At 34.5% G+C, this 25,908-nt stretch overlaps 2 long non-coding RNA genes across 5 annotated transcripts in view; one reads left to right on the top strand and one right to left on the bottom strand.

Moving 5' to 3' along the window:
* Positions 1–19,264, top strand: part of LOC105378335 (uncharacterized) — a 37,450-nt gene extending 18,186 nt beyond the window's left edge. The window contains exon 3 of the long non-coding RNA XR_946019.3: positions 19,174–19,264. This is a non-coding gene — a long non-coding RNA (uncharacterized LOC105378335). The remainder of the gene's footprint in view (positions 1–19,173) is intronic.
* LOC124902439 (uncharacterized) overlaps positions 1–25,908 on the bottom strand; it is an 820,351-nt gene that overhangs the window by 84,266 nt on the left and 710,177 nt on the right. The gene's annotated exons all lie outside the window — the stretch shown is intronic.

Raw genomic sequence — 25,908 nt, 5'->3', positions numbered from 1 at the left:
TTGAAAAAAAAGAAGAATTAAAAAGTGAATTGATTTGCTACTCAACATTATCAAAATATCCCTGACATCAATCTAACATGTCAACATGGCATACACACGAGCCATTAGCACCTACACAGGCCTGTCTACAATCTGCCCTTGTGCTCAAGGGAGGAATGGGCATCCCTTTCCTTTGCTTATCTGTTCTCGTTACCTGAGGAATGTTCTATCTACATCCTTTTCCATGCCTATTTTATCCCCTGTCCACCCCTCAAATCCAAATTCCAATTACTTCGCAGTAAATTTTCTATTCCTCAATTACTCCTGGCCACAGAGGAGTCTCCCTTCTTTAATTTACATAACACTTACAATCTTCTCCAAACAATTTATACCTAAATATAAAATTTATTTGGCTTTCTAGACATTTTAGCTGCTTTTCTTTAGGTAGCTATTAATGTTTTTGAGACGAGAAACTAGATATTTCTCTTTGCTAGCAAACTTCAACCTAGGTGCTTAAGAAATACAGTTTTTTTTAAAAATAGGAAAAAAAAAAGTCAAGACTGAATTGCAAACATGTTTCTATCACATAAATATGCATATTATTAAAATATGTAAAGATCTGCATTCCAGTTGATCAACAGCCACCGCCCCACTCCCTCATCTCCCACTCCCCCCAAGTTCTCCCTCACTAATCTGGAAGCCTCCCTTCAATCCATCAACTAAAGGGGTAATACAAGGCACAAAAGAGGATGCCAGCTCACCGCTCCAGTCTCATGGCCACTACTATCTGTTCTGAGGTGTTGTTCAGGTGCTACAGGGATGATACCACTAATTAATGCTTAATATAGCTTGAATCCAGGAGATAGTTTTTCCTTCAGTAGAGGTCTGTTCATAAAGTAAATTTTCATTCTTTTTTGCTTGGGATACAGAGTCTCACTCTCTTTCCCAGGCCGGAGTGCAGTGGCACAATTATGGCTCAGTGCAGCCTCAACCTCCTGGGCTCAAGCAATTCTCCTACCTCAGTGTACCAAGTAGTTGGGACTACAGGCATATACCACCATGTCTAGATAATTTTGGGGTTTTTTTTTTAGAGATAAAGTCTGGCTATGTTGCCTAGGCTTGTCTCAAACTCCTGGCCTCAAGTGATCCTCCCACCTAGGCCTCCCAAAGCACTGGAATTATAGGCGTGAGCCACTAAACCCAGCCTTTCATTCTTAATTTAAAATATTACCATATAATCCTTTTCCAATAAGAAAAACATGTGCTATAAAGAGCCCATGTTACTTACCAACTTGTAATATATATTCCCTTGTAATAATAAGCAAAGTGTTTTTGCTTATTATATACAGATGATGACCATATTACTTTTAACACCAAATTATTCTGCCTTTTAGAAATTAATGGCACTTAAATGATAACATAGGAAGTCAAATTATTTATTTGCCATTTCTCTAGAATCCCATTTGCATATTGGGTTCAGATATCCCTAAAATAATATTTCATTGTATTAATTTATCTTAGCTCTGAAATATGCCACTCTGTTTTTCAATAGCAATGGTGAAAGTAGACCAAGGCAAATTTTAAAATGCTTTTATAAGTAATATATCTAGAAGCCTATAATTGAAAGTAATTAAAATATTTTTGTGCTGATGGACATGCAACGAAGGACAATAATATTATTGACTCAAATATTTAACCGAACATCTGTTCTTGATCATAATTCCTTCTTAAATTATCACACTGTTTTATATTTAAGAAATCACTCTTAATGTTTTACAAGGGCAGTTACCTTGTGAATATGATATTAGAGCTATATGTTTGATACTTCATGGACTTCATGACTCCATTGGAGACATCTGCCCTTTTGGTTGCTGTGTACCTCTTTTCCAATATCCAGATAAAATGGATGTAGATGCTTTATTTGATGTCCATATGTAACATATATGATTCTACATTGTCCAGTCTTATGGAGTCATTTTTCTTATTTGAGAACCCCAAATTTAGTATGAGCTTCAATTATGAATTACTGAGGGAAGTCTTTCAATATGCTCCCCTTCTTGTTTCTGAGAATCCCTACAAAATACTTGCTTGCTCCACAAAACTATTTTGTTTCTCACTTACTACCTTCCCCAGCCATTTTACCCCAGACAGCCTTTCCATTTCTTGAAGGACCTCCCTTAGTCACTGTGACATAACCCGGCCATTTTCCTTTTTCTCCTTCCATGCAGAATGGACATTGACAAATTTCTTAATTCATTGGAACACAGGCAACAAAAAAACCTTCATAATGTTAAATTACTGTACCTAAGGATTGGAGATAAAATTAAAAAGCTAAGAAGGAAAATATAAAGGTAGATGTTCATGGTAGATATTATTCAAAAATGGCCATGAAACTTTCTCTGTTTATAGGAGCACTCTGTTCCTGCAATGAATATACAGAGTTAAATTCCCCACCCTTTGAATATGAACTGACCAAACGAAGCGCTTTGATCAATAAAATTTTATGGAAATGATATTGTATCTGTTTGGGGCCTAATTTTCAAGTGACTTTTAACTTCTACTTTTTTAGAACTCAGTCACCATGTCATCATAAAATCAGGTTATTCTACTACAAAGTGACATCCCTTAGAGAAGCCCTGGAAGATGAGTCATAAGGAGAGAGAGGGCACATGAAGGAAAGTTGAGGAGCCCTGGCTAGCAGGAAGCACCAAACCTTCAGAGTGTGAATGAGCCCTCCCTGAACTTTTAGTTCCACCCATCCCCCAGAAGAGGACAACTGGATAAGTGATCCCAGCCATACCTCCTGGAGCAGAAGAACAACCCAATTAACATACAGAATCATAAGAAATGATAACTTATTGTTTTAACATGCTGAGTTTTGGAGAAGTTTGTTATGCATAGAAATCTGAAGTCCTTGATATCACTTCTGATGGAGCCAACTTGCCAAATCCCTTCATATGGGGTCACCTGCTTGATTTCTCTTGCCTAAGCACCAACTTCTCCCCACCATCATTTAGATGCTGGTTTACTTCCCATTATGAGGAATAAATCCTTTTGACACTAACAGCCCAGGGTTCTAGACTCTTAACTCATTGGTTTTAAAATTTTGTTTGTTGGCCTTTATTGTAGCAAAATGAACATAATGTAAATTTTATCATTTTATCCATCTTAAAGTGTAAAATCCAGTGACTTTTTGTAACAATTACCAATATCTAGTTCTATCACATTTTTATCACATCAGAAAGAATCCATATTTCCCAGAGCCCCTAACAACAATTAATGGATTTTCTCATCTATGGATTTGCCTATTCTGGATAATTCATATAAATGGAATCATTCCATTTGTTTCTGGCTTCTTTCACTTAGCATAATATTTTCAAAGCCCATCCATCCAAATTATTGCTTTGCATAAAGGAAGAAAGAATTCTTCCCCTAGTTAGCATCTTGCTAGAAGTGCCACCCTACCCATAAGGAGGAAAATTTTTAAACTGTTCTCTATTTCAGAGTAAGATCAAGGCATTACTTTCATCTAACTAAGAGGTCCAATGGAGTTGTTTTCTTTCTCAAACAAAAGAGTAGCCTCTTATAAAAAGTGAATTCTATATTCACTCTTGTGGAAAAAAAAATCTCAGGCAGTTCTGTGTTTAGCAGATTGTCACCAATGCTTATACAAACTGACACAGATCCTGGTTGTGGGGGTTAATTTTTCGTGTCAATTTGACTGGGCATAGGGTGCCCCGATACTTGGTCAAACAGGATTCGGAGTATGTCTTTGAGGATATTTCTAGATGAGATTAACATTTGAATTGATAGACTTGAGTAAAGCAAATGGCCCTCCCTAATGTGGGATTTCACCTAATCAGTTGAGGATCTGAATAGAATAAAAAGGCTGAATAAGATGGAACTTCATTCACCTGCCTGGCTGTTGAACTGGAACATGGGTCTTCTCATAAACTTAGACTAGAATTTAGACCATTGACTCTCCTTGGTCTCAGACCTTTGGCCTTGAACTAGAGCTATACCACTCACTCTCCTAGGTCTTCAGCTTGCCACTACCTTTCTTGGAACTTCTCAGCTTCCATAATCATGGGAGCCAATTCCTTATAATAAGTAAATATAATATGTGTGTATATATATGTGTACATATGTGTACATATATGTGTACACATATACATACATATACACATATATACATACGTATCTATTTATATAGAGAGATTTATTATCCATTGGTTCTGTTTCTCTGGAGAATTCTGGCTAATATACATGCCTTTTTTCATTTCTTAGCAAATATACTACTAGTATATAAACTACTACAAGTAGGTCAGAATAGATGTGCATCAGCAACAATGTCTATTCACATCTCCAGAGAAAGTCTTCTCCTAAGACTCTATTCACATCTCCAGAGAAAGTCTTCTCCTTTTTTACAGTATAAAATAATTGGGGGCCAAGAGAAGATTAATACAATTGGTACAGTAAAATACTGTCTTCCTCTTCTTCACCCAATATTCTCCCCAATATAAAATAGGGAAAAAAGTAAAACTGTATTGAAAATATTGTATTTATTTAATCTCTGTTAGTATGATGTTAATTAAAACTAGTGCCTAATTTTCTCACTACAGCTCAGATAGGTCGTACTATTTTCAGGTGACCCGAGATTGCGTTTTTCAATGTTCAGTTTTCATAAGTTATGATGGAGACCACTATAAAAAAATCTCACCCCATGAGAAAAGAGAGTCAAAAGGTGAAAGTTGGTGCAAAATAAAACTGGCTTGTGTCCAAAGGGAGGGGAGATGTTGAACACTAGCAGTGCCATTCATTTAGTCTATCCTCTGATACAAGCTTCGTGGACTCATGCCTGAATCCTCAGGCAACAGAGTTATGACTCAAAAACTATGTCTGAACTAATAAATTGGAAATTTGAAAAGTCAAGGTGACAGCAGTATTAAGTGCCAGTGGCTTCAGCAATGAGACACAAAAATCTCTCAACATTGGACGGTATTGTTGTTTTAAGCAGTTCAGGGCACGAAGTACAGCATCCTTGGCCTGTACATTAGCACACCCAGCAACAGGCATCAGTAACCATAAGCCAGAAGTCAGTGGCCTCCAGCAACCAGCACTGGCAGCGATTTTTGGACCGTATAGCTGTGGATATAGGTAGCTTACCAGGTCAAGACAGTAGACAAATTGTGGATACCATATTGATTCCCACAGGACCAGCTTGCAGATCATACTGGAGATATGCCTTGAGAGGGCAATTATGGGGACTGCCAAGTCAGAAGCAGAGATACACTGATTTGTTACTGTTATGGTAAAACCCTTTGTCGTCCCTGGTTAGGGTGGCTGATTTTTATCCATAGCAATGTCTTGGCCTATCCTCTGCATTTTCTTCAATGCAGTTTATAAATTCAATGCCACCTGACCTACACAGCAAACAGTTATTTTCAGAAATAGAATGACAGAAGTCCTTTTAACTGCACACCTCTGCAGGTAAATTTGTTTCCAGCCTTTATTAGATTGTTTACATTAAGTCCACTATTTAATTTTGAAAATGAAACTTTCGATAACAAATTCAAGCACTAGTTTATGTATAGAAATTTTTGAAATATAAATTAATTTTGAATAATGCAAACTCACACTATATTGTTCAAGATGAAGCTTTTCCATTTAAATTTCATGAAAGATTAAGGCAGCTGAAAAAGAAACGTGGATGGACTCAAAGTAACAGTTTGCATTTTGATATTGGAAAACAGTAAGATAAATGGTTTTATGTTCCTTTCATTTGCATATATATGTGGCTAAAGACAGGAGAAAGGATCAAAAATCTAAACTCTGAAATGGCATTTCAACAAAACAATCTGATGACAAAGATTTTTTCATAGATCAACCAGTTTTCTTTTTTCAGCATTTCTACATGAAATACGATAAGCCTCACTTTCCCAACTCCTGAAATTTTAGGGTGAGAAATGCTGTTTTGGAAAATATCCACATGCAATCAACTTGATGTTAGCTAGAAAGTGAAAGCATCATCTCTTTCCCATGTCAATTACAATTATGCTTCAATTTAAAAAGTAATATACAGTGGTATATACATTATTCTTGAATTTAAATCCAATGTCAAACCTTCAAAAAATTCAGTATTATAACAGTAAAAGCACAAATTTATATGGTTTATTATTATTATAATATAAAATAGTATTATTTTACTTAAAATATATTAAAATATAATATATTACGTTATAATGGAAACCAAAATAAAATATAATAAGCTGATACTGGTAAGTCTCATCTGTGGCACCAGTTAATAGTCATTTTGTTTTAAAGTTTTTAGAATTGTAGAATCTTAGAATTATCTTAGAAGATAATTTCTTAATAATTTCTAACATTCTTTCCCTCATCGTTCTTCCCCTCCCTCACCTTTCTAACCTGTGCCAAGTGATAGTCAGGAAAAGAGGTGTTTGGTTACACAGCTATGAAAAAAATTCAAGAATTCTAACAATGATCATAAGGTTGCATTGATAGTTAATCTAAGGAAAAAAAATCTCTTACATGAGATGGTTACTATCCAATGGATTTATGTAATCCTGTTGCCAGAGATATTAACACTTTATTTCAAAATATGTAACTGTAACAAAATATAGTATTTTCTTTCTTAAACAATCACTTCATTGACATGTACTGAGCACATTATGTGCAAGACATTGTTGAATATCAAAACAAGCTCTTAACAAAAGGTAAAAAATATAATAATCAAAGGGAATATCTGATGGGTCATGTACTCAGCTTTTAGACAGGCATAACTTTATGTCCTTTTAAAATGTGAGAACCTACCAGCTAGCACACCAATGTACCCAGTTATCTTTTTCATTGAAGGTGCAATTTGAACTAATTTGATGACATTTAGGTAATGCAAGCCTTATGAAAACAAATAAAATGAAATAAAACAAAATAACTTTAAGATTATTATCAATATAATCTGGAGATTTATTGAGTCATAGCCTAAGCAATCACTAAAAGATGCTAAATAGATTTAGGAAATAATTGTTGCATGAGAGAAATAACACTTCGTTTTTTTGCATTAAAAATCTTGTTTATAGATCCACATACAGTTTAATTTTCTAATACCATCACATGTAAAATTGCATGTTCTATCATCATAAGTGAATATCTAGTTTTAAGGATTCCTCTTGAAACATCTGCAACATTACCTAGCAACATTATCACAGTGGTCTCCATCCATCTGAGAGCAAATGGTGAACATCTGTTTTGAACACAGTCGGGAAAAAAAAAGCAAAACAATATAAATTTTGATTATGATCAGAGTTTGACACGAATGTAGATAGGCACAGACTCCTTACATGAGTCAACTTTTAGAGTATTGTTTCTCCTCATACTTTTAGATATGTTGTGAGTATCAAAATGTGCATTGTACATATAGAATTTAAGGTGATAATGTATCAAATTAAAGCATTAAACTTTCAAGCTCTGAAATAGACTTAAAAGCCTATAGAACACCATAAGGGCTTTAAATTAGTCCTAATAAAAATTGAGTGAGTTGGTAGGCAAGTTATAAATTACTTACAAATAGGCTGCTGAGAAGTCTCAGACTGCTAAATGGGTCGGTCTAATTATATTCTAAACAAAATTACAGAATATGACAGTGTCTATTTTTCTACCACAGTTGAAGCTCATTGATTACTCTGTTGACCACTTCTTCAAATACAATGACTCCAGAATGTTGCTGGAAGCAAATTCAGGAGTAATGATGGACATTCTTCCAAAGACCTTCTCACCAGAGGAGTAAGCCAATTTTATTTTTGTTGCAAGAGTCACCTTTACTTTCTAGGCTGGCCTCGTCACTTGACTTTATTAGTAAACTATAGCAGAAGTGATGCACTGCCACTTCCAGGCCTATCCTGTAATAGACCTGGTAGGTTCTACTTTCTCTATGGGGATCCCAATCATCAGGCTGTAAAGAAAATTGTGCTTTATTACTGAATTAGGAGAGATCAGATAAAAAGCAAAGCCAAATGGAAATGAAATAAGCTGCAAAATGTATCAGTAAAGCTTTATTAGACTTTTCAGTACAGCAGCCATGTAAATACAGGTGATTGAGTGATCTCAGTCCATGCTAAGTTGAAAATATCTATACCATATCAGCAATGAAGAATGACCTCAATGGTTATATTAGCAGAGTAGACTCAGCTGAGAAAAGAATTGGTGAACTTGAAGATAAGTCCATTGAAATTCCTTAAACTGAAACACAAAGAGAAAAAGTAAAGAAAAGAAGTATAACAACATTCAAGAGCTGAGGGACAATATCAAACAATTTAAGGTATGTTTCACTGGAGTCCCAGAAGAGATGAAAGAACGGCAACAATGACATATTTGAAGAGGTGATGGTTGAGAATCCATCAAAATTTAAAAAGGACCAAGAACCACAGATGAAAGAAGCTCAAGAAACCCCAAACAGAATAAATAGTAAAAGGAAAAACAAAAACCTAGATATAGCGTAACAAAACTGCTAAGAATAAAAGAAAAGGAGGACTCCCTAAGGCAGCTACAGAAAAAAGATATATACAGAGAAACCAAGAAAGACAAAAATTACGTAAGATTTCTTTTCAGAAAATATTCAAGCCACAATAAAAAGTATCAATATTTTTAAAGTATTGGAAGAAAAAAAGCTTTCAACCAGAATTCTATAACTAGCAAAGTATATTTGAAAAATGAAAGACAAAGAAAAACAGAGAAAAATTATTGCCTACAGATCTGAAGTACAATAAATGGTAGAAGAAATTTTTCAGACAGAAGAAATATGATACTGGATAGAACTTTGGATAACACAAAGAAATAAAAAGCACCAGAAATAATAAAAATGACGGTAATATAAAATATATTTTTCTTATCTATACTAATCTAAAATATAATTAACTGTTTAAAGCAAATATAATGTGTTATGAGTCTTTTAACATATAAAACTAAAATATATGACAATAATAATGTAAAGAATATAATAGAGAAGATGGAATTTTCTCCTTATACAGTAAGTCAACTAAAGTCAACTAATGTAATATTTAAAGTTAAACCGAGATAAGTTAACGATGTATAATGTAAACCCAAGAAAGTATAACTAATAAGCCAGTCCTGGAGATAAAATGGAAACATAAATTTTATTCATTAATCTAAAAATAGAACTGTTTTTGAAGCCACATACTTCCACTTATAAGTGGGAGCTAAATAATAGGTACATACAGATATACAGATTGAAATAATAGACATTGGGGACTCCAAAAGGGGGGGTGCGGGAGGGAGGGAGGGTTGAAATACTACCTATTGGGTACAAGGTACTCTATTTGGGTAATAGATACAATAAAAGCCTAGACTACATCACTATGCAATGTATCTATGTAACACAACTGCACTTGTACCCCTCAATCTATGAAAATTAAAAAAATTGGTTTTCAGTATTTAAAATGTGTTAGGCACTGTGCCAGGACACAATGATGAACAAAACAAAGTCCCTGACTTCATAAAGCTTGTATCCTGGTAAGATGGAAGAAACAATAAATAATTAATAAAGCCTGTATTTAATACTGCGCAAAAAGAAATTAAACAAGCTATGAAAGGATTTAACAGACTGACCAATCTGGTCAGGAAGTTCTTTGCAAGGAGATGGCAATGAACAATTTTCTATTAATCCAGTAACCTTTAGCCTTATTACACCACTTAAAAATTACAGATTCTTTCATTTCATTGTATTCTCAGAAAGAATACATGGTAGTAAGACTGAATAACCTACATATAGATACATCACAATTGCCTCTTATGAGATAGAAAAGCATTCTGCATACCTATCATTTTTACTAAACACCACAGTACACTGATAAATAGCACTGTCAGCTATAAATGCTAAGCTGCTATTTCAGAGTGAATGGAAATATTCTCTAGAAAATAGATTTCTCTTTAAATGTCTGTGTTGATCTGTTTTTCAAATAAGTTTATAACAAGATAGCAATAGGATAAATTAAAACCCTTAGCCCAGTAGAAATTCTAATATTTGTTTTGAATGCTGACCCCTTAGGTAAAACACGGTTCATAATATGATTTTGATTTTCCTTTATAATCAGAACTCTTAAAGCTATTTGCAAAATTTTAATAGAAGTACTTGATATTCGTGATTCCCTGATCAGTGTAGTTATGTACAGAGAAAATTAAGGATAAAATGTCTTCCTAGAGTCTTTAAAATCTTAAAGTCGGCCGGGTGCGGTAGCTCACTCCTGTAATCCCAGCACTTTGGGAGGCCGGGGCGGGTGGATCACTTAAGGCCAGGAGTTAGAGACCAGCCTGGCCAACATGGCGAAACCCCGTCTCTACTAAAAATACAAAAACTAGCGGGGCATGGTGGCGCCCGCCTGTAGTCCAGCTACTTGAGAGCCTGAGGCAGGAGAATCATTTGAACCCGGGAAGTAGCAGTTGTAGTGAGCGGAGATCATGCCACTGCACTCCAGCCTGGGCCAGGGAGTGAGATGCTGTCTCAAAAGGAAAAAAAAAAATCTTAAAGTCATATATTTTAATTCTAAAATTTTAATTTATATTTGATATAAATCGCCACTATAAAGGGGTTACATTGAAATGACCTTATTATAGAAGGTGCATGAATTTTGCACCGTCTTCAAGCCTTGCATAGCAGGGACGGCTGCAGGAAGCTGCTCTTCTCCTGGCTGCCCCAGACATCCAAACTAAGTCAAATCTTCATGTAACTTGTTGCCTGTGGACGTTCTGCCTTACCAGACTCAGACAACTTGGTAATTATTGCATAGTGAACCTAATTTACAGTATTTAGTTACACTAACAGCAAACTGTCTGAAAAATAAATCAATAAAACAATCCCTTGTGGTATAGCATAAAAATAAAATAATTAGGAATAAATTTAACCAAGAAGAAAAAAAATCTGTACACTGAAAACTATAAAACACTGGTGAAAGAAATTGAAAAGACACAAGTGGAAAGATGTCCTGTGTTTATGGATTAGAATACCTAATATTGCTAAACTGTCCACACTACACAAAGCAATTTAAAGATTCAATGAAATCCCTATAAAAAATCCAAATTGTATTTTTCAGAGGAATAAAAAACAAAGACCCTAAAATTTATATGGAACCGCAAAAGGACATGAACATCTAAAATAATATTGAGCAAGCAGGACAAAGCTGGAGGCACCAAATTTTCTGATTTCACAATATATATTACAAGGCTACAGTAATCAAAAGAGTAAGGTACTGGCTTAAAATTAACAAATAGATTAATGAAACAGAATAGAAAGCCCAAAAACAAATTCAGACATTCACAGTCATCTTATGTTTGACATGAGTTCCAAGAATACACAATGGGGAAAGGATATTCTCTTTAATAAATGATTTTGAGAAAACTGAATATCCACATGCAAATGACTGCAGTTGGACCCTTATTTCACTCAATATGCTAAAGTCAACTCAAAACGGATTATAGACTTAAACATAAGACTTGAAACTATAAAATGAATAGAAGAAGACAGTAAGAGAAAAACTCCTTGACATTGTTCTGGGAAATAATTTTTGGATATGACCCCAAAAGCACAGGCAACAAAAGCAAAACTACAGAAATTGGATAGTGTCAAACCAAAAATCATCCTCTGCACAACAAAGAAAACAATCAACACAATGAAGAAACAACCCATGGAATGGAAGAAAATATTTGTAAACCAGCATATGTTGGTTAATATCCAAAATATACAAAGAACTCAAACAACTGAAGAGTAAAAATAAAAATAAAATAAAATAACCCAATTTTAAAGTGGGCAAAGGACCTAAATAAACATTTTTGCCAAGATATAAAAATGGCCAGTAAGTGCTTATCATAACTATTATCAGGGAAATGCAATTCAAAACCATAACAAGATATCACACCTATTCAGATGGCTATTATCAAAAAGATAAATGATAACAAGTATTGTTATCACAATCTCTTTTACCTGTGAAATCTATGCGTACAAAGTTTTAGTCATAAATAGGAATTGCACAAAGCAGCTCCATCTCCTAAGGCTGGGGCAATAAAGGAGGAATCGGGTGTTATCAGAAGCTAGAAGTGTGAAGGTGAGGGCCTGGACCTGAGCCTCAGGTTCTGAAGAGGTCGCCGCCTGACTGCTGCTGGTACCCTCCAAAGGCTGAATCTGGAAGTAGCAGAGGGAAAAAATAAACACTAGAACAAATTGCTGTTGTTTATAGGAAGGTCCTTTACTGAGATGACTCTAATAAGAAAAAAAAAAAAATGGAAGCAGCACTTTTTTTTCGTACCTCCTGCTTCTTATTTTCTCTCCATTGTACCCTATTGGAATACTTTAACAGCAAAGGAAGAATATAGTTTTCAGAATCCCAGGAGCAGAATCATAAAGCAAATGGAAGGTGAGTTCAGAGCTGAAAAACAATACCTTAATAACTATCCCAGCAGGAATACTGTAATTTCAATAGGCTGAATGAATTGTAAGTAGAGATTTTAAACTGTTTTCAATTTTATAATTCATGTCTCATTAAGTCCCAATATCTACAGTAAAAAAAAAAAAATTCATCTAAATAAACTTACCTTTGTAGAACTGGTACATTTTAAAACTTCTATTATCAAAGAAATGACTGTCAGTTCTAAAGCCCTAGAGCTAAGTATCATTCTTATGGACTGCACATTACTGATAGTGATAGAAGACAACATTTTCACTACTTCTTAGTTTTACCAAATGTCAACTGAGTTGCAAGTTGCATTAACTAGGGAATTTCCACTTAGCTGTTTTGGACATTGGTTATTCCAGAAAGTATTTCTTTTAATAATATATGCTTAGTGGATTAGTCAGAATTCTCCAGAAAAATAGAACAAATAGGATACAGAATACATATTAAGAACTATGTAAAATTATATACTATATATGAATAGATATATGTACAGACAGAGAGAGAGATTTATTATAAGGCATTGGCTTACATGACTATGGAGGCTGAGAAGTTCTGTGAACTGCCCTCCATAAGCTGAAGACCCAAGAGAGCTGGTGGTATAATTTCAGTCTGAGTCTAATGGCCTGAGAACATACTCTTGAGCATGCATTAGCTCTTAGAAGAACCAATGGTGCAAATTACATTCTAAGGGCAAAAAAAGACCAATGTCCCAGCTCAAGCAGATAGGCCAGAAGTAAAAAAGTAAATTTCTCTCTTCTTTTTTTTCTATTCAGGTCTTTAACAGATTGGGTGATGTCCACCTACCTTGGGAAGGACAATCTACTTTGTTCAGCTAACTGATTCAAATGCTAATCTCACTCAGAAACACTCTCACAAAGATATCCAGAAATAATGCTTAAGAGTTTGGGACCAGCCCGGCCGACAATGGTGAAACCCCATCTCTACTAAAAATACAAATATTAGTCAGATGTGGTGGCAGGTGCCTGTCATTCCATCTACTCCAGAGGCTGAGGCAGGAGAATGGCTTGAACCAGGGAGGTGGAGGTTGCAGTGAGCCGAGATGGCGCCACTGCACTCCAACCTGGGCAACACAGCAAGACTCTGTCTCAGAAAATAAATAAATAAATAGTGCTTAATCTGGGCACCCCATGGCACATCAAATTAACACATAAAATTAACCATCACAACAAATGAATTTATAAAACTTTAAAAAATCTTGATCTGCCATAAGTGAGATGCTTTTTGTTACATGTTCATTAAATTAGAGATCAAGGTCTATAAAATAGAAAGAAATAGATAAGTAAAAAGAAAGAAGAAAAAATGCATTGTTAGTATAGATAACTTTATATTTCCAATATATTACTCATACTAATAACTGGAACTCTTACACATCTTGTTAAGTTGATAGATTTTTATGTTATATATTTTAGGATCATTTTAATTTTCAAGTGTCATGTAAAACTGAGTTCTCAGTCATCAGTAGACATGTAATCCCTGTTATTTGGCATGGGTGCATGACTAAACTGAAAAAAATGACTGAATGAACAAATAAATGAAATTAAATGCTCTCTGCTCTGGGAAATTTTCAGGAAGACAAATTCACCAAATGCATTCGGTTTATTAGAAGTGTATATTCATCAGCACACTGGTTAAACTGTATTTTACAATATAAAATACCTAGTTACAACCTATACTCACTAGGATAAGTATTACCCTCCCTTTTGAAAAAATTATAGTACTTATCAATATCATTAATATCAAAATTGCAATTTGATTGATTGATTGATAAAATAGATAGATTGAGTAAAGTTCCTTGATTCTTGAACATTCCGGAATTTCAGACTTGGAATAGATACAAAAGAGAAAGACTGGACTCCTTATTAGTATGGGCAGGTTAGATCTTGAGAGAAAAGTTATAAAATGTGACTATGTTTACCTCGGGTTAACAAAATGAATCATCCCAGCTATATACATTCATAGCAGGTTTGAGAAAAAGTACATGCCCTTGAAAGGAAGAGGATAAATTGGGTATTGCATCTATTCGAAAACTTAATTATAAAGAATTTACTTTTGAAAATTTGCTAAGAATTTCTACAGTAATTGATTCAACTTTTCTTTGTTACTTTTATTCTATTTCAGAAATATATCATCTTTTCTTTGAGACTTTTTTTATTCATTGAAAGCCAACATAGTCAGGAAATTGGGTTCTTCTACTGAAGACACTTATCAAACAGATTGTTTCAAATTGCCTTGGCTTGGAGACAGAGAGAGTCAGTTTCAGTAAAAGCACTGTTTATTTTAAAAGGAAATATTCATTTTAAAAATACTGATTAAAATTTATTTCTCAGACTTAGAAATGTATCCTTAATACAAAGCTGTCACCATTATTTTACCTGAACAATGTTTAAAAACATTATTACAAATATATATACATATGTACAGTGTATGGAAATATTTCATCTTACCATTTATAACCAAATAACTTTAAAGTTGAGCAAGGAGCTTTCTTCTGAGTATGCATAAACAGATGTTATTCTGTTTCCTCCAAAGATAAGCCTTGGGCAGAAACTTGTATAAATTATGTCTCTAAATAAATCTCAATAATGCTTCATCTGAAATCAAACAAGTAGGTTATATAATTTTCAAATGTTGGAACTGTCTAGTCTTTTTGTTTCTAATTTAATTTTATTATTTTCAGAGAGCTTGACATATCTTAACACAAGTTTTTTATGAACTTGTGTTTCATTAAAAACTCGTGTTAAGATATGTCAAGCTGAAAATACTTTGAGCTGAAAATATTTTCTAATTTTCTTACCCTGTAACTTTTAATAAGAGTAGGTTACATAATTCCAAATACTGGGGAATGTTCTAGATTTTTTATCTTTAATGTAATTCCATTCTTTTCAGAGAACTACTCTGCTGTATTTATATCATTTGAAATACATTAAGATTTGTGCTATAGCCCAACATATGGTCTATCTTGATAAATATTCCATATGCACTTGAATACATATTCTGTAGTTTTTATATCCAGTGGTATGAAAAATTAAGTGAGCTTGGTTGACAGTTTTGATCAGATCCTTACTGATTTTTTGCTTACTCATTTTACCAAATACTGAGAAGAGTGGCTTAAAATTCTCAACCCTGATAATTAATTTGTCTCTTTTTCTCTCATTGGAGAGTTGTCATAGATGTTTTGTTTTACATATATTGTTATAGAGCTTTTACATTTACATCTAGGCGTCTTAGGTCTTTTTGATAAATTGTTTCTTTAGCAAGTGAAATACCCTCTGATAGCATTTCTTGTCTTGAAGCCTACCTTGGCTGATATTAATACAGCCATATCTCCTTTCTTTTGTTTAGTGTTTGCATGGTATATCTTTTTTTCCTCTTACTTTCACCTCTATATTTAAAGCACATCTTGATTACATCTCTGATAGTTGTGCTTTGTCTTTTAATTGCCTGACAATTTCTGACTTAAAATTGGAATGTTTAGTCCATATATATCTAATGCAATTATTGGTATAATAGGGCTCATATGTCAATATGGCCCTATTTTGCTTTCATTTGTTTTGTTTTCAAATTTTATTCTACACTCTTCTGATTGAATTAACTGATGAGTTATACAATCCAGTTATCTTAATGAATACTGCCTTTTGATTTATATTTAACTTTCCATTTAAAAAAAAATCTAGCTACTATTAAGCCTACTGTAAACTTTCCACTGCAGTTCTTGCATCACTTGTTTAGTATTTCCATTTTGTTGCATTTTTAATTTCTATTTCTCTGCTGAGGTTCTTTATATAGTTACTCATTGAGACCATATTTTTCTTGAAGTCCTCGAATGCACTTATACTGTTCTAAGATTTGTCTCCTAAATCTCACATCTGAGCCATCTTGGAGTGTGTTTCTATTCCCTCGCTATATTTTTTTGGCTATGAGTCAAAATTTCATATTTATTTGGAGAAACGGTATTTTTATTATATTTTGGATATTATAATTGATATATAGATTCTGAATTCTGTTATCTTTCTCTGCATAGTGTTGATTTTTCTTCCCTAGGCAACTATTGACTGAACTTTTTAAACATATATGGGCTTAGATTTATGTAGTGTTAGGATGGATTTACCTCCTCTAACTTGTGAGTATTCAAACTCCTAGTTCTTACTATCTCATATATTTTGGTTTGGCTATGTTTTAAGATTTAGGGAAGTCTAAAGTAGGCCTTATTATATAATGTGGGCCTTATGTCAAAGGCGTGATCCTTCTGCCATGTCAATTAAATATCCACGTGTTAACAAGGTCTCTCCACTCAGGCTGTGCTGGAACTCAAATGTCTGCTACCACATTGATTGACTTCTATTTATTTTGTTCTCCTCTCAACCCAAGAGCAGCTGATAATTTCACACAATATTCTCTGGAGAAACCATAATACTACCCACAGCCAAGGCCTTGTAGAGAGCCTCCATGCAGACTTCTGCTTCATCCTCTCTCCCTCTATCCTCATTGTTCAGCTGCTTTCTAGTGATTGCAAATTTCAGCTGCTTTACCTGTCAAGATTCTGATCTCTGCCTTCTCAGCTCAGGGCCACCATACTCTGTTTGAACTTTTTCTTTCTGCACCACAATTAGGAGGTTTCCCTTGACATAGAGCTTTGGTAATTAGAGGGTTTATTCATAAGCGCCTTCACTCAACACTTGACCTATCATCCTATGCTTAAACGTAGTTGTCTCACATAAAAAGTTACTAGATAATTCATAGACTGGAGAAGATATGTGTGGTTCTTAGGTTGAACAATATTGATTATTATGCAGTTTTTAAATGGTCAAATGTCTACATTTCTACATAAGTCCATATAAATAAATAAGTGACAGTAATGTAGAGAATTTTTGAAGAGTTTCTTTCATCAGCTGAAAAGAGACAACACAACAGAAAAACAGAGAAAAAGTTTATAAAGGGACAATTCACATAAAAGGAAATAATTGGACAATACTAAAAACTATTTCTTTTAACAATGAGAAAAATGCAAATTTTTGAGAACGACCATGCTGATGGGACAACAACTTGAGAGAGTAATTTGGTGATACTCAGTCATTTTAAAGAGCACACACTCTACAAGTGAGTATACTAAAGAAACTCTTATTTTCTTTACAAGAAAGTGATGTACAAAGAAAGTGTACAACAAAGTGATGTATAAAGATATTCACTGTGCCCATTTGTATAAATAATAAATAAGTGGAACAAACTAATACTTTCTCAGTAGAATGACTAGATGCAGTGGCTTGGACATAAAGAGGTTTATCAACATTAAATTAATCAAAATAAAAGTTTTAATATTTCTAAAGTTCTTAAAACAATTTCTATTCTTGGCATAGGCTACTTCAGTTCAGGATAAAATGAATGAATTAGATTTAAATATATTAACAAAGGTAAATACTAAAAACAATATTCATTAGAAAATCCAGTGGCAAGCGTGTTCTCAGTATGATTTTATTAATGTAAAATTGAAAACACAAAAAGCAATAGAATATAGTGTTACAAATACATTAGAGTGATAAACACCAACTTTAAAGGATATAGGGAGGGCTAAGAGAAATGGTAAGTTGGGTTTTGGTATATATAATTTTGTTTTGTTTTTCTTTTAAATGAAAATTGTAAAGCAAACAAAAAAGGAAATATCAATAAAGCTGCAGACGTGCAAATTTTCAGTTTTATTAACAGAGCAGAAACATATTATTACATCATCATTTTCAGTTCACTTGACTAACAGAGTCTATCAAAGCAGAGAAAGTGGCAGAGACATGAAAAGTTAGTTGTCTTTGCTCATGTCGCTCTGAGAAAAGGCCACAGTAATCAGTGAACCTTTGTTCACCAAGCTTATGAAACAGAAAGTCTCAATTATATAAGTCTTGGCAAAAGATTTTTTTTTTTGGAGTTTGTTGCATTATCGTAACTAAAAGTGATATGTACTGTTTCCTGTTTATAATCCAGATAATTTAAATTATTTTATCTTAGAAGTCTGAAAATTGCATGAACATTACATAAACATTTTCTTAAAGAAACAAACACTACATATGTTATTCAGACATAATCAAGGATATTGTTTATATTCACATTGGTGATGGGGTATTAATTGAATACATTTCTCATTAGTCAGGAAAACTTTCTCCTGCCATGATTGAATTGCATTCTTAGATATGTCTTTAGGGATCAACAAACTTTTCCCCTAAAGGGCCAGGTAGTAAATACTTTAGGCTTTGAGGGCCAGATGATCTCTGTTGCGACTATTCAACTCTTCTGCATTAGGGTGAAAGTAATACATATGTACCAGTAATACAGAAATAAATGGGCATGTCTGTGTTCCAATAACATTTTTTTAACAGAAACAGGTGGCAGGTTAGATTTGGTCTGCAAGTCATAGTATGACAACACCTGCTCTAGATTGTTTTTAATTCTTCTAATATTCTAGCTGGTTGTTTAATGATTTTGCCAAGGATTTTATGTATCTTTCTTGCCTATTATTTTTTATGACCCTCTGGTATGCAAAAGTTAGATACACTGAGATCTGCAAAAATAGAACACTGTGAAAATAACAAGATGATCGGCCAGTATTGTGATATAAGCGGTTTTGTCCTTGTTTGAATAGCCTCTTTCTCTTCCTCTATCTGTCTTTAGTCCCGCATGTTTCTGTTTGTTTGTTTGTTTGTTCTTTCAGAGGCATGATCTCGCTCTGCGGCCCAGGCTGCCAGGCTGAAGTTAAATGGCATGATCACAGCTCACTGCAGCCTTGAACTTCTGGGCTTAAGCAATCCTCCCACCTCAGCCTTCCAAGTACCTGGAACTACAGGCCTGCACCACCACACCCAGCTAATTTTGTTTTTAATTTTTTGTAGAGACAAAGTCTCACTATGTTGCCAAGGCTGATCTCAAACTCCTGGCCTCAAGTGATCTTCCCACCTCATCCTTTCAAAATGCCTATAGCCATCATCCATCATGCGTGGCCCAGTCTTTCATATTCTTACAGATGTGGGTGACCCCCATGTTATACTGGTGAGGAGGCTTAGGAAATTAATATAAACTTGGAACTTATGAAGTCTTTCTCATAAGACTTTTTCACAGAATCAGGTTTCAATTTCTTCTCTCTCTCAACTTCCTGTGGCATCTTGAATGCTATTTATCAATAAAATCCCATACAATTCTGCAAAACAAAGACTGCTAACATTCTTCTGTCTGGATTTATGAAGATTATACTTCTAAGAGAAATCAATCCTGGTAAGAATAACCAGAAGTCCTGAAGGCCCAAAATAGCTAGTGAGACTTGATAAGGTCTTTTATGATTTGTTAGTTAGTGGGAAAAACTAGGAAATTAGAAGAATGTGATTCGTTACAAGTTGCATCTACTTCTTAAACACAGTTGAGCAATAATAATTCGCTGAAAAAAATCCTTGCTAATTAAAAAAATAAAATGACATGAAATTTATTTTAGAGTGATTATTTGTGTCATCTGTAGGTTGCCGGAGTTTTGTGTTTTGCATCCTATAACAAAACAGATGAAACAGAGGGTTAAGAGCCACAGAGGGATGGTGACGCTCTGCAGGTGTGCTTTTCCATCAGTTTTTAATTAGGCTATGGGTGAGGCACATAAATAGGAAGTGCTGAGGGTGAATATGGTCTTTTTAAAAAAGGAAACAGTGAAAGGACAGAAATCTGTAATCATGAAGACAGACAAGTGGTACTCTGATTTTCTGTAATGTGGTTTTTGTCATTTTAATGCTTAATATTAAGATTAAATGTATGCTATGCTTGGAAGAAAATCATATTTTTATAAATTTAATTGAAATATTTGCAATTTTTTATGACTATCTCTGGGCAAACCCTTAGCGTCAAAAGAAAGTAAAAAATTAAAAAGGCTTGTTTAAAGGCACTTTCTTCTTTGTTATGTATGGCACTTTCCTGTCTTGAAAGAGAATGTTGAAGGAAGTAATGTCCCCGTGAATGTCTGATGATAATGTGCCCCTGTACTCAGGCCTTGCCTGGTGAATAATCTTATACAGTCAAATACTCTATTGGAATTCTGATTGAATTAAGTGGCACATAAAGAGTATGCATAAAAGATCATGAAATTCTTGGTGCAAAAGACTCTGAATTCATATAGCATGGCAGTCATGCCTTTGAGAAACAGACATCACAATGGGTTCAGAAATCCTTAATATTTATTGAGGGATATGCCCCAAAAAGCTAAAGGAGAGAGGGAGCAGACAAAAGCAGCCTCCCCACCAAGATTCAGCTTTAAAACCTGTGAAAGGAGAGAGGGAAAAATGAGGTATAAAAGTTTCAGACTGAAATGCAGGTCTGAGGAAGTCTCGGCCAAACTGAAAAGGAATTCCCAAGCATCGTCTGTCCTTTGGTAGAGTGGCTTGGTACTTATAACTCCATGCACAGTCCTTGGCTTGGAGCAACCCACTGAATGCAAATCATTGGCGAGAATGCTGGAAGATCCAAAAGTGCTATGAATAAAGACTATTAATGAACTGTTCTCTTCATGGCAGGCTATCATGAAGACACTTGAGTAGCACAAATCCATGGCCACCATGAAGAGGTGTTCTACGTCTTCAAACTGAAACCGTATCATGCATAAGAAAATTTGTTATAAAAATTTTGTCCAGGAAGATTAATAATTTTTTCAATAAAATGTATTTTAGGCCAAGCAGGGTGGCTCAGTCTCTACTCCCAACACTTTGGGAGGCCAAGGCAGGCAAATTGCTTGAGCTCCAGAGTTTGAGATCAGCATGGTCAACATGGCAAAACTCTGTCTCTAAAAAAAATACCAAACTTAGCTGGGTATGGTGGTGCATGTCTGTATTCCCAGTTACTCAGGAAGCTGACCTGGGAAGATAGTTTGAGTCTGGAAGGTGGAGGTGGCAGTGAGCCAAGATTGTGCCACTGCACTCCATTCTGGGTGACAAAGCTAGGCTTTGTCTCAAAAAAAATATATGTAATATAATATATATAAAACTTGATTATTGCATTTACACAAATTTATCCAATGTTAGAAATATGATTTCAGCACCAAGGACAGTGATTGAAATACAGTACATGTTCAATATGGGTTGAGAATAAACGCATATAGTTTCTCATATTTCTTATTTTAGAAAGCCCTTCAATGTATCAGTTACGTTCTTCTTTCTAGCTCAACACTATCACTTTAATAAACTTTTCTTTATTTAGCCATAATTTGCATCTTAAGTTCTCACTCTTTTCAAATCTCAATAAGCCTATGTTATAACAAATACGCAGTTGTAACAGTGAGTAAGCACATTGACCCTGAACCATGCTTCCTGGGGTTAATGCTTGGCTTCAATATTTACTAACTGTGAAAACTTCGGCAAACCAATTAACCTCTCTCCCCCTTAGTTTCCTAATAGCTTAAATCAAAATTGTAACACTAGCTGATTATAGAGTCATTATGAAGATGAAAACTAATATGTTAAAATATTTAGAGCAGCATCTGGTGTATACAGTAAGCGCTCAGAAATGCAAGCCACTATCACTCATGCTGTTATTATTAACATGGATCAAAAGCTACACCATATAATTAATAAGGCATTAGGAATATCTCCACTAGGAAAAAAAGTGACTTGATAAGGGTTTTAAAACTGGCTCAGCAATTGACCAAATTTATCACAACAAATAATTTAGTACAAACTACTGGAAACTAGCAGGACCTCAATGTAGAAATGAAGGCAGTATATAGAAAAATATGATGATAATAAAAATGTAAACATAATGTCTGGCCTAAAGTTCTGTTATGGACACTCATGGACGCAAACCTGACGATAATATGCCCCTATATCCAGGTTGCCTGGCCACTATCAGTCTATCTGGCTTTTCAGTAATTCTACTCCTGGATCGGTAACTCCATGAAGACAGGCTTCCAAGTTTTGCAATTGGCATTTTCCAAGAGATTTCTTAGTGCCCTCTGTACCATAGCTCCATAGCTTAGCTATAAAATCAATCAATGCCCATCTCCTAAACATTTTGGAAACATTCAATTAACTATGAGGGTTATGCTGGCATGCCTAGCTCAACATCAATACACAAGTCCATTGAAGCAAAAGAGTGAAATAATAAACTCTTATTTAATTCATTCATTTATTCATGTATGCATGCAACAAATATTTATAAAGTAGGTATTATATGCCAGAAACTGGTGTGAAAGAAAATAATGGTAAAAAAAAATATTAAGCTTTTCCCTCATAGATTTGTAATCTTATACAGGAGAGTCAAACCTCTTTCATAATTTCACAATCAATCCCTATTCTATCAAAAGTATCATTGCCTAAGATCCCCTACTTGACTGATAAAAAAGTAGGATATAGATTCTATAGGTGCTGCAAAAACTAGAATGAATAGTGAAGAATTAAAAAAAAAGTTAAATTGACTGAACAATCATACCAATTATTTAAAGAGTTATCTGCTATACTCTAAAATAAAATAAAAATTCTCTGTATAGTAACAACTTGGACGTTGTAAAATAAAAAATGAAATATGGAAGGATAATACTGTATTTCTTATCTACAAAAAATTTTTCTTAACTGTTGATTTATTATCTGATAGCATTAAAAAACTGATGAAGGAGTTTATAGTATTCTCTGATGGTTGTTTATATTTCTGTGGGGTCACTGGTGATATCCCATTTATCACTTTTTTATTGTCTATTTGATTCTTCCCTCTTTTCCTCTTTATTAGTCTAGCACGCAGGCTATCTATTTTATCAATTTTTTTTTTTTTTCAGAAAAACAGCTCCTGGATTTGTTGATTTTCTGAAGGGTTGTTTGTGTCCCTGTCTCCTTCAGTTCTACACTGATCTTGGTTATTTCTTGTCTTCTGCTAGCTTTGGGATTTGTTTGCTCTTCTTTTTCTAGTTATTTTAGTTGTGATGTTAGGATGTCAATTTGAGATCTTTCTAGCTTTTTGATGTGGGCATTTAGTACTATAAATTTCCCTCCTAACAGTGGTTTAGTTGTGTGCCAGAGATTCTAGTACATTGCCTCTTTGTTCTCATTAGTTCCAAAGAACTTCTAGATTTCTGCCTTAATTTCATTATTTACCCAGGTGTCAATCAGGAGCAGGTTGTTCAATTTCCATATAGTTGTGTGGTTTTGAGTGAGTTTCTTAATTTTGAATTAAGAAACCACTGTGCTGTGGTCTGAGAGACTGTTTGTTATGACTTCAGTTATTTTGCATTTGCTGGAGTGTTTTCTTTCCAATTCTGTGATCAATTTTAGAGTAAGTACCATGTGGCACTGAGAAGAATGTATATTCCATTGTTTTGGGGTGGAAAGTTCTGTAGATATCACTTGGTGCAGAGCTGAGTTCAAGTCCTGAATATCCTTGCTAATTTTCTGTCTCGATGATCTGTCTAATACTGACAGTGGGGTGTTAAAGTCTCCCACTATTATTGTGTGGGAGTCTGAGTCTCTTTGTAGAGAACTGCGACTAAGAACTCGTTATATGAATCTGGGTGCTCCTCCATTGGATGCATATATATTTAGGGTAGTTAGCACTTCTTGTTGAATTTAATCTTTTACCATTAGTAATGCCCTTCTTTGTCTTTTTTTGTCTTTGTTGGTTTAAAGTCTGTATTATCAGAAACTAGGACTGCAACTTCTGATTTCTTCTGCTTTCCATTTGCTTAGTAAATTTTCTTCCATCCCTTTATTTTGAGCCTATGCGTGACCAGGAAGAAGTTGAATCCCTGAATAAACCAATAACGAGTTCTGAAATTGAGGCAGTAATAAATAGCCTACCAACCAAAAAAAGCCCAGGACCAGATGGATTTACAGCTGAATTCTACCAGAGGTACAAAGAGGAACTGGTACCATTTCTTCTGAAACTATTCCAAACAATTAAAAAGGAGGGACTCCTCCCTAACTCATTTTAGGAGGCCAGCATCATCCTCATACCAAAACCTAGCACAGATACAACAAAATAAGAAAGCTTTGGGCCAGTATCTCTGATGAATATCTATGTAAAAAATCCTCAATAAAATACTGGCAAATCAAATCCGGCAGCACATCAAAAAGCTTATCCACCATGATCAAGTCAGCTTCATTCCCGGATGAAAGGCTGGCTTAACTTATGCAAATCAATAAACATAATTCATCACATAAACAGAACTAAAGACAAAAAACACATGATTATCTCACTAGATGTAGAAAAGGCCTTCAATAAACTCCAGCATTCCTTCATGTTAAAAATTCTCAATAAACTAGGTATCGAAGGAACATAACTCAAAATAATGAGTCATTTATGACAAATCCACAGACAATATCATACTGAATGTGCAAATGCTGGGAGCATTCCCTTTGAAAACTGGCACAAGACAAGGATGTCCTCTCTCACCACTCCTATTCAACGTAGTATTGGAAGCTATGGCCAGGGCAATCAGGCAAGAGAAAGAAATAAAGGGTACTCATAGAGGAAAAGAGGAAGTCAAAGTGTCTCTATTTGCAGATGACATGATCTTATATCTAGAAAACCCCATCATCTCAGCCCAAAAGCTTTTTAAGCTGATAAGCAACTTCAGCAAAGTCTCAGGATACAAAATCAATGTGCAAAACTTACAAGCATTCCTACACACCAATAACAGACAAGCGGAGATCAAAATCATGAATAAATTCCCATTCACAATTGCTACAAAGAAAATAAAATACCTAGGAAAACAGCTAATGAAGAAAGAGAAGGACCGCTTCAAGGAGAACTACAAACCACTGCTCAAGGAAATTCAAGAGGACACAAACAAATGGAAAAACATTCCATGTTCATGGAAAGAAAAAATCAGTATCATGAAAATGGCCATAGTGCCCAAAGTAATTGATAGATCCAATGCTATTCCCATTAAACTACCATTGACATTCTCCACAGAATTAAAAAGAACTATTTGAAAAATTCATGAGGAACCAAAAAATAGCTCATATAGCCAAGACAATCCTAAGCAAAAAGAACAAAGCTGGAGGCATCACGCTACCTGGCTGCAAACTATACTACAAGGCTACAGTAACAAAACAGCATGGTACTGACACAAAAACAGACACATAGACCAATGGAACAGAATAGAGGCCTCAGAAATAACACCACACACCTACAACCATCTGATCTTAGACAAACATGACAAAAACAAGAAATGGCGAAAGGCTTTCCTATTTAATAAATGGTGCTGGGAAAACTGGACAGCCATATGCAGAAAACAGAAACTGGACCCCTTCCTTATACCTTATACAAAAATTAACTCAAGATGGATTAAAGACTTAAAAGTAAAACCCAAGACTATAAAAACCCTAGAAGACAATGTAGGCAATAGCATTCAGGACATAGGCACAGGCAAATATTTTATGACAGAAACATCAAAAGCAATTGCAACAGAAGCCACAATTGACAAATGGAATGT

Source organism: Homo sapiens, chromosome 10, assembly GCF_000001405.40.
Source record: "Homo sapiens chromosome 10, GRCh38.p14 Primary Assembly".
NCBI classification, from domain to species: Eukaryota; Metazoa; Chordata; class Mammalia; order Primates; family Hominidae; genus Homo; species Homo sapiens.
Note: the sequence above shows the minus strand (reverse complement) of the source record. Positions and strands in the feature narration are given on the sequence as shown.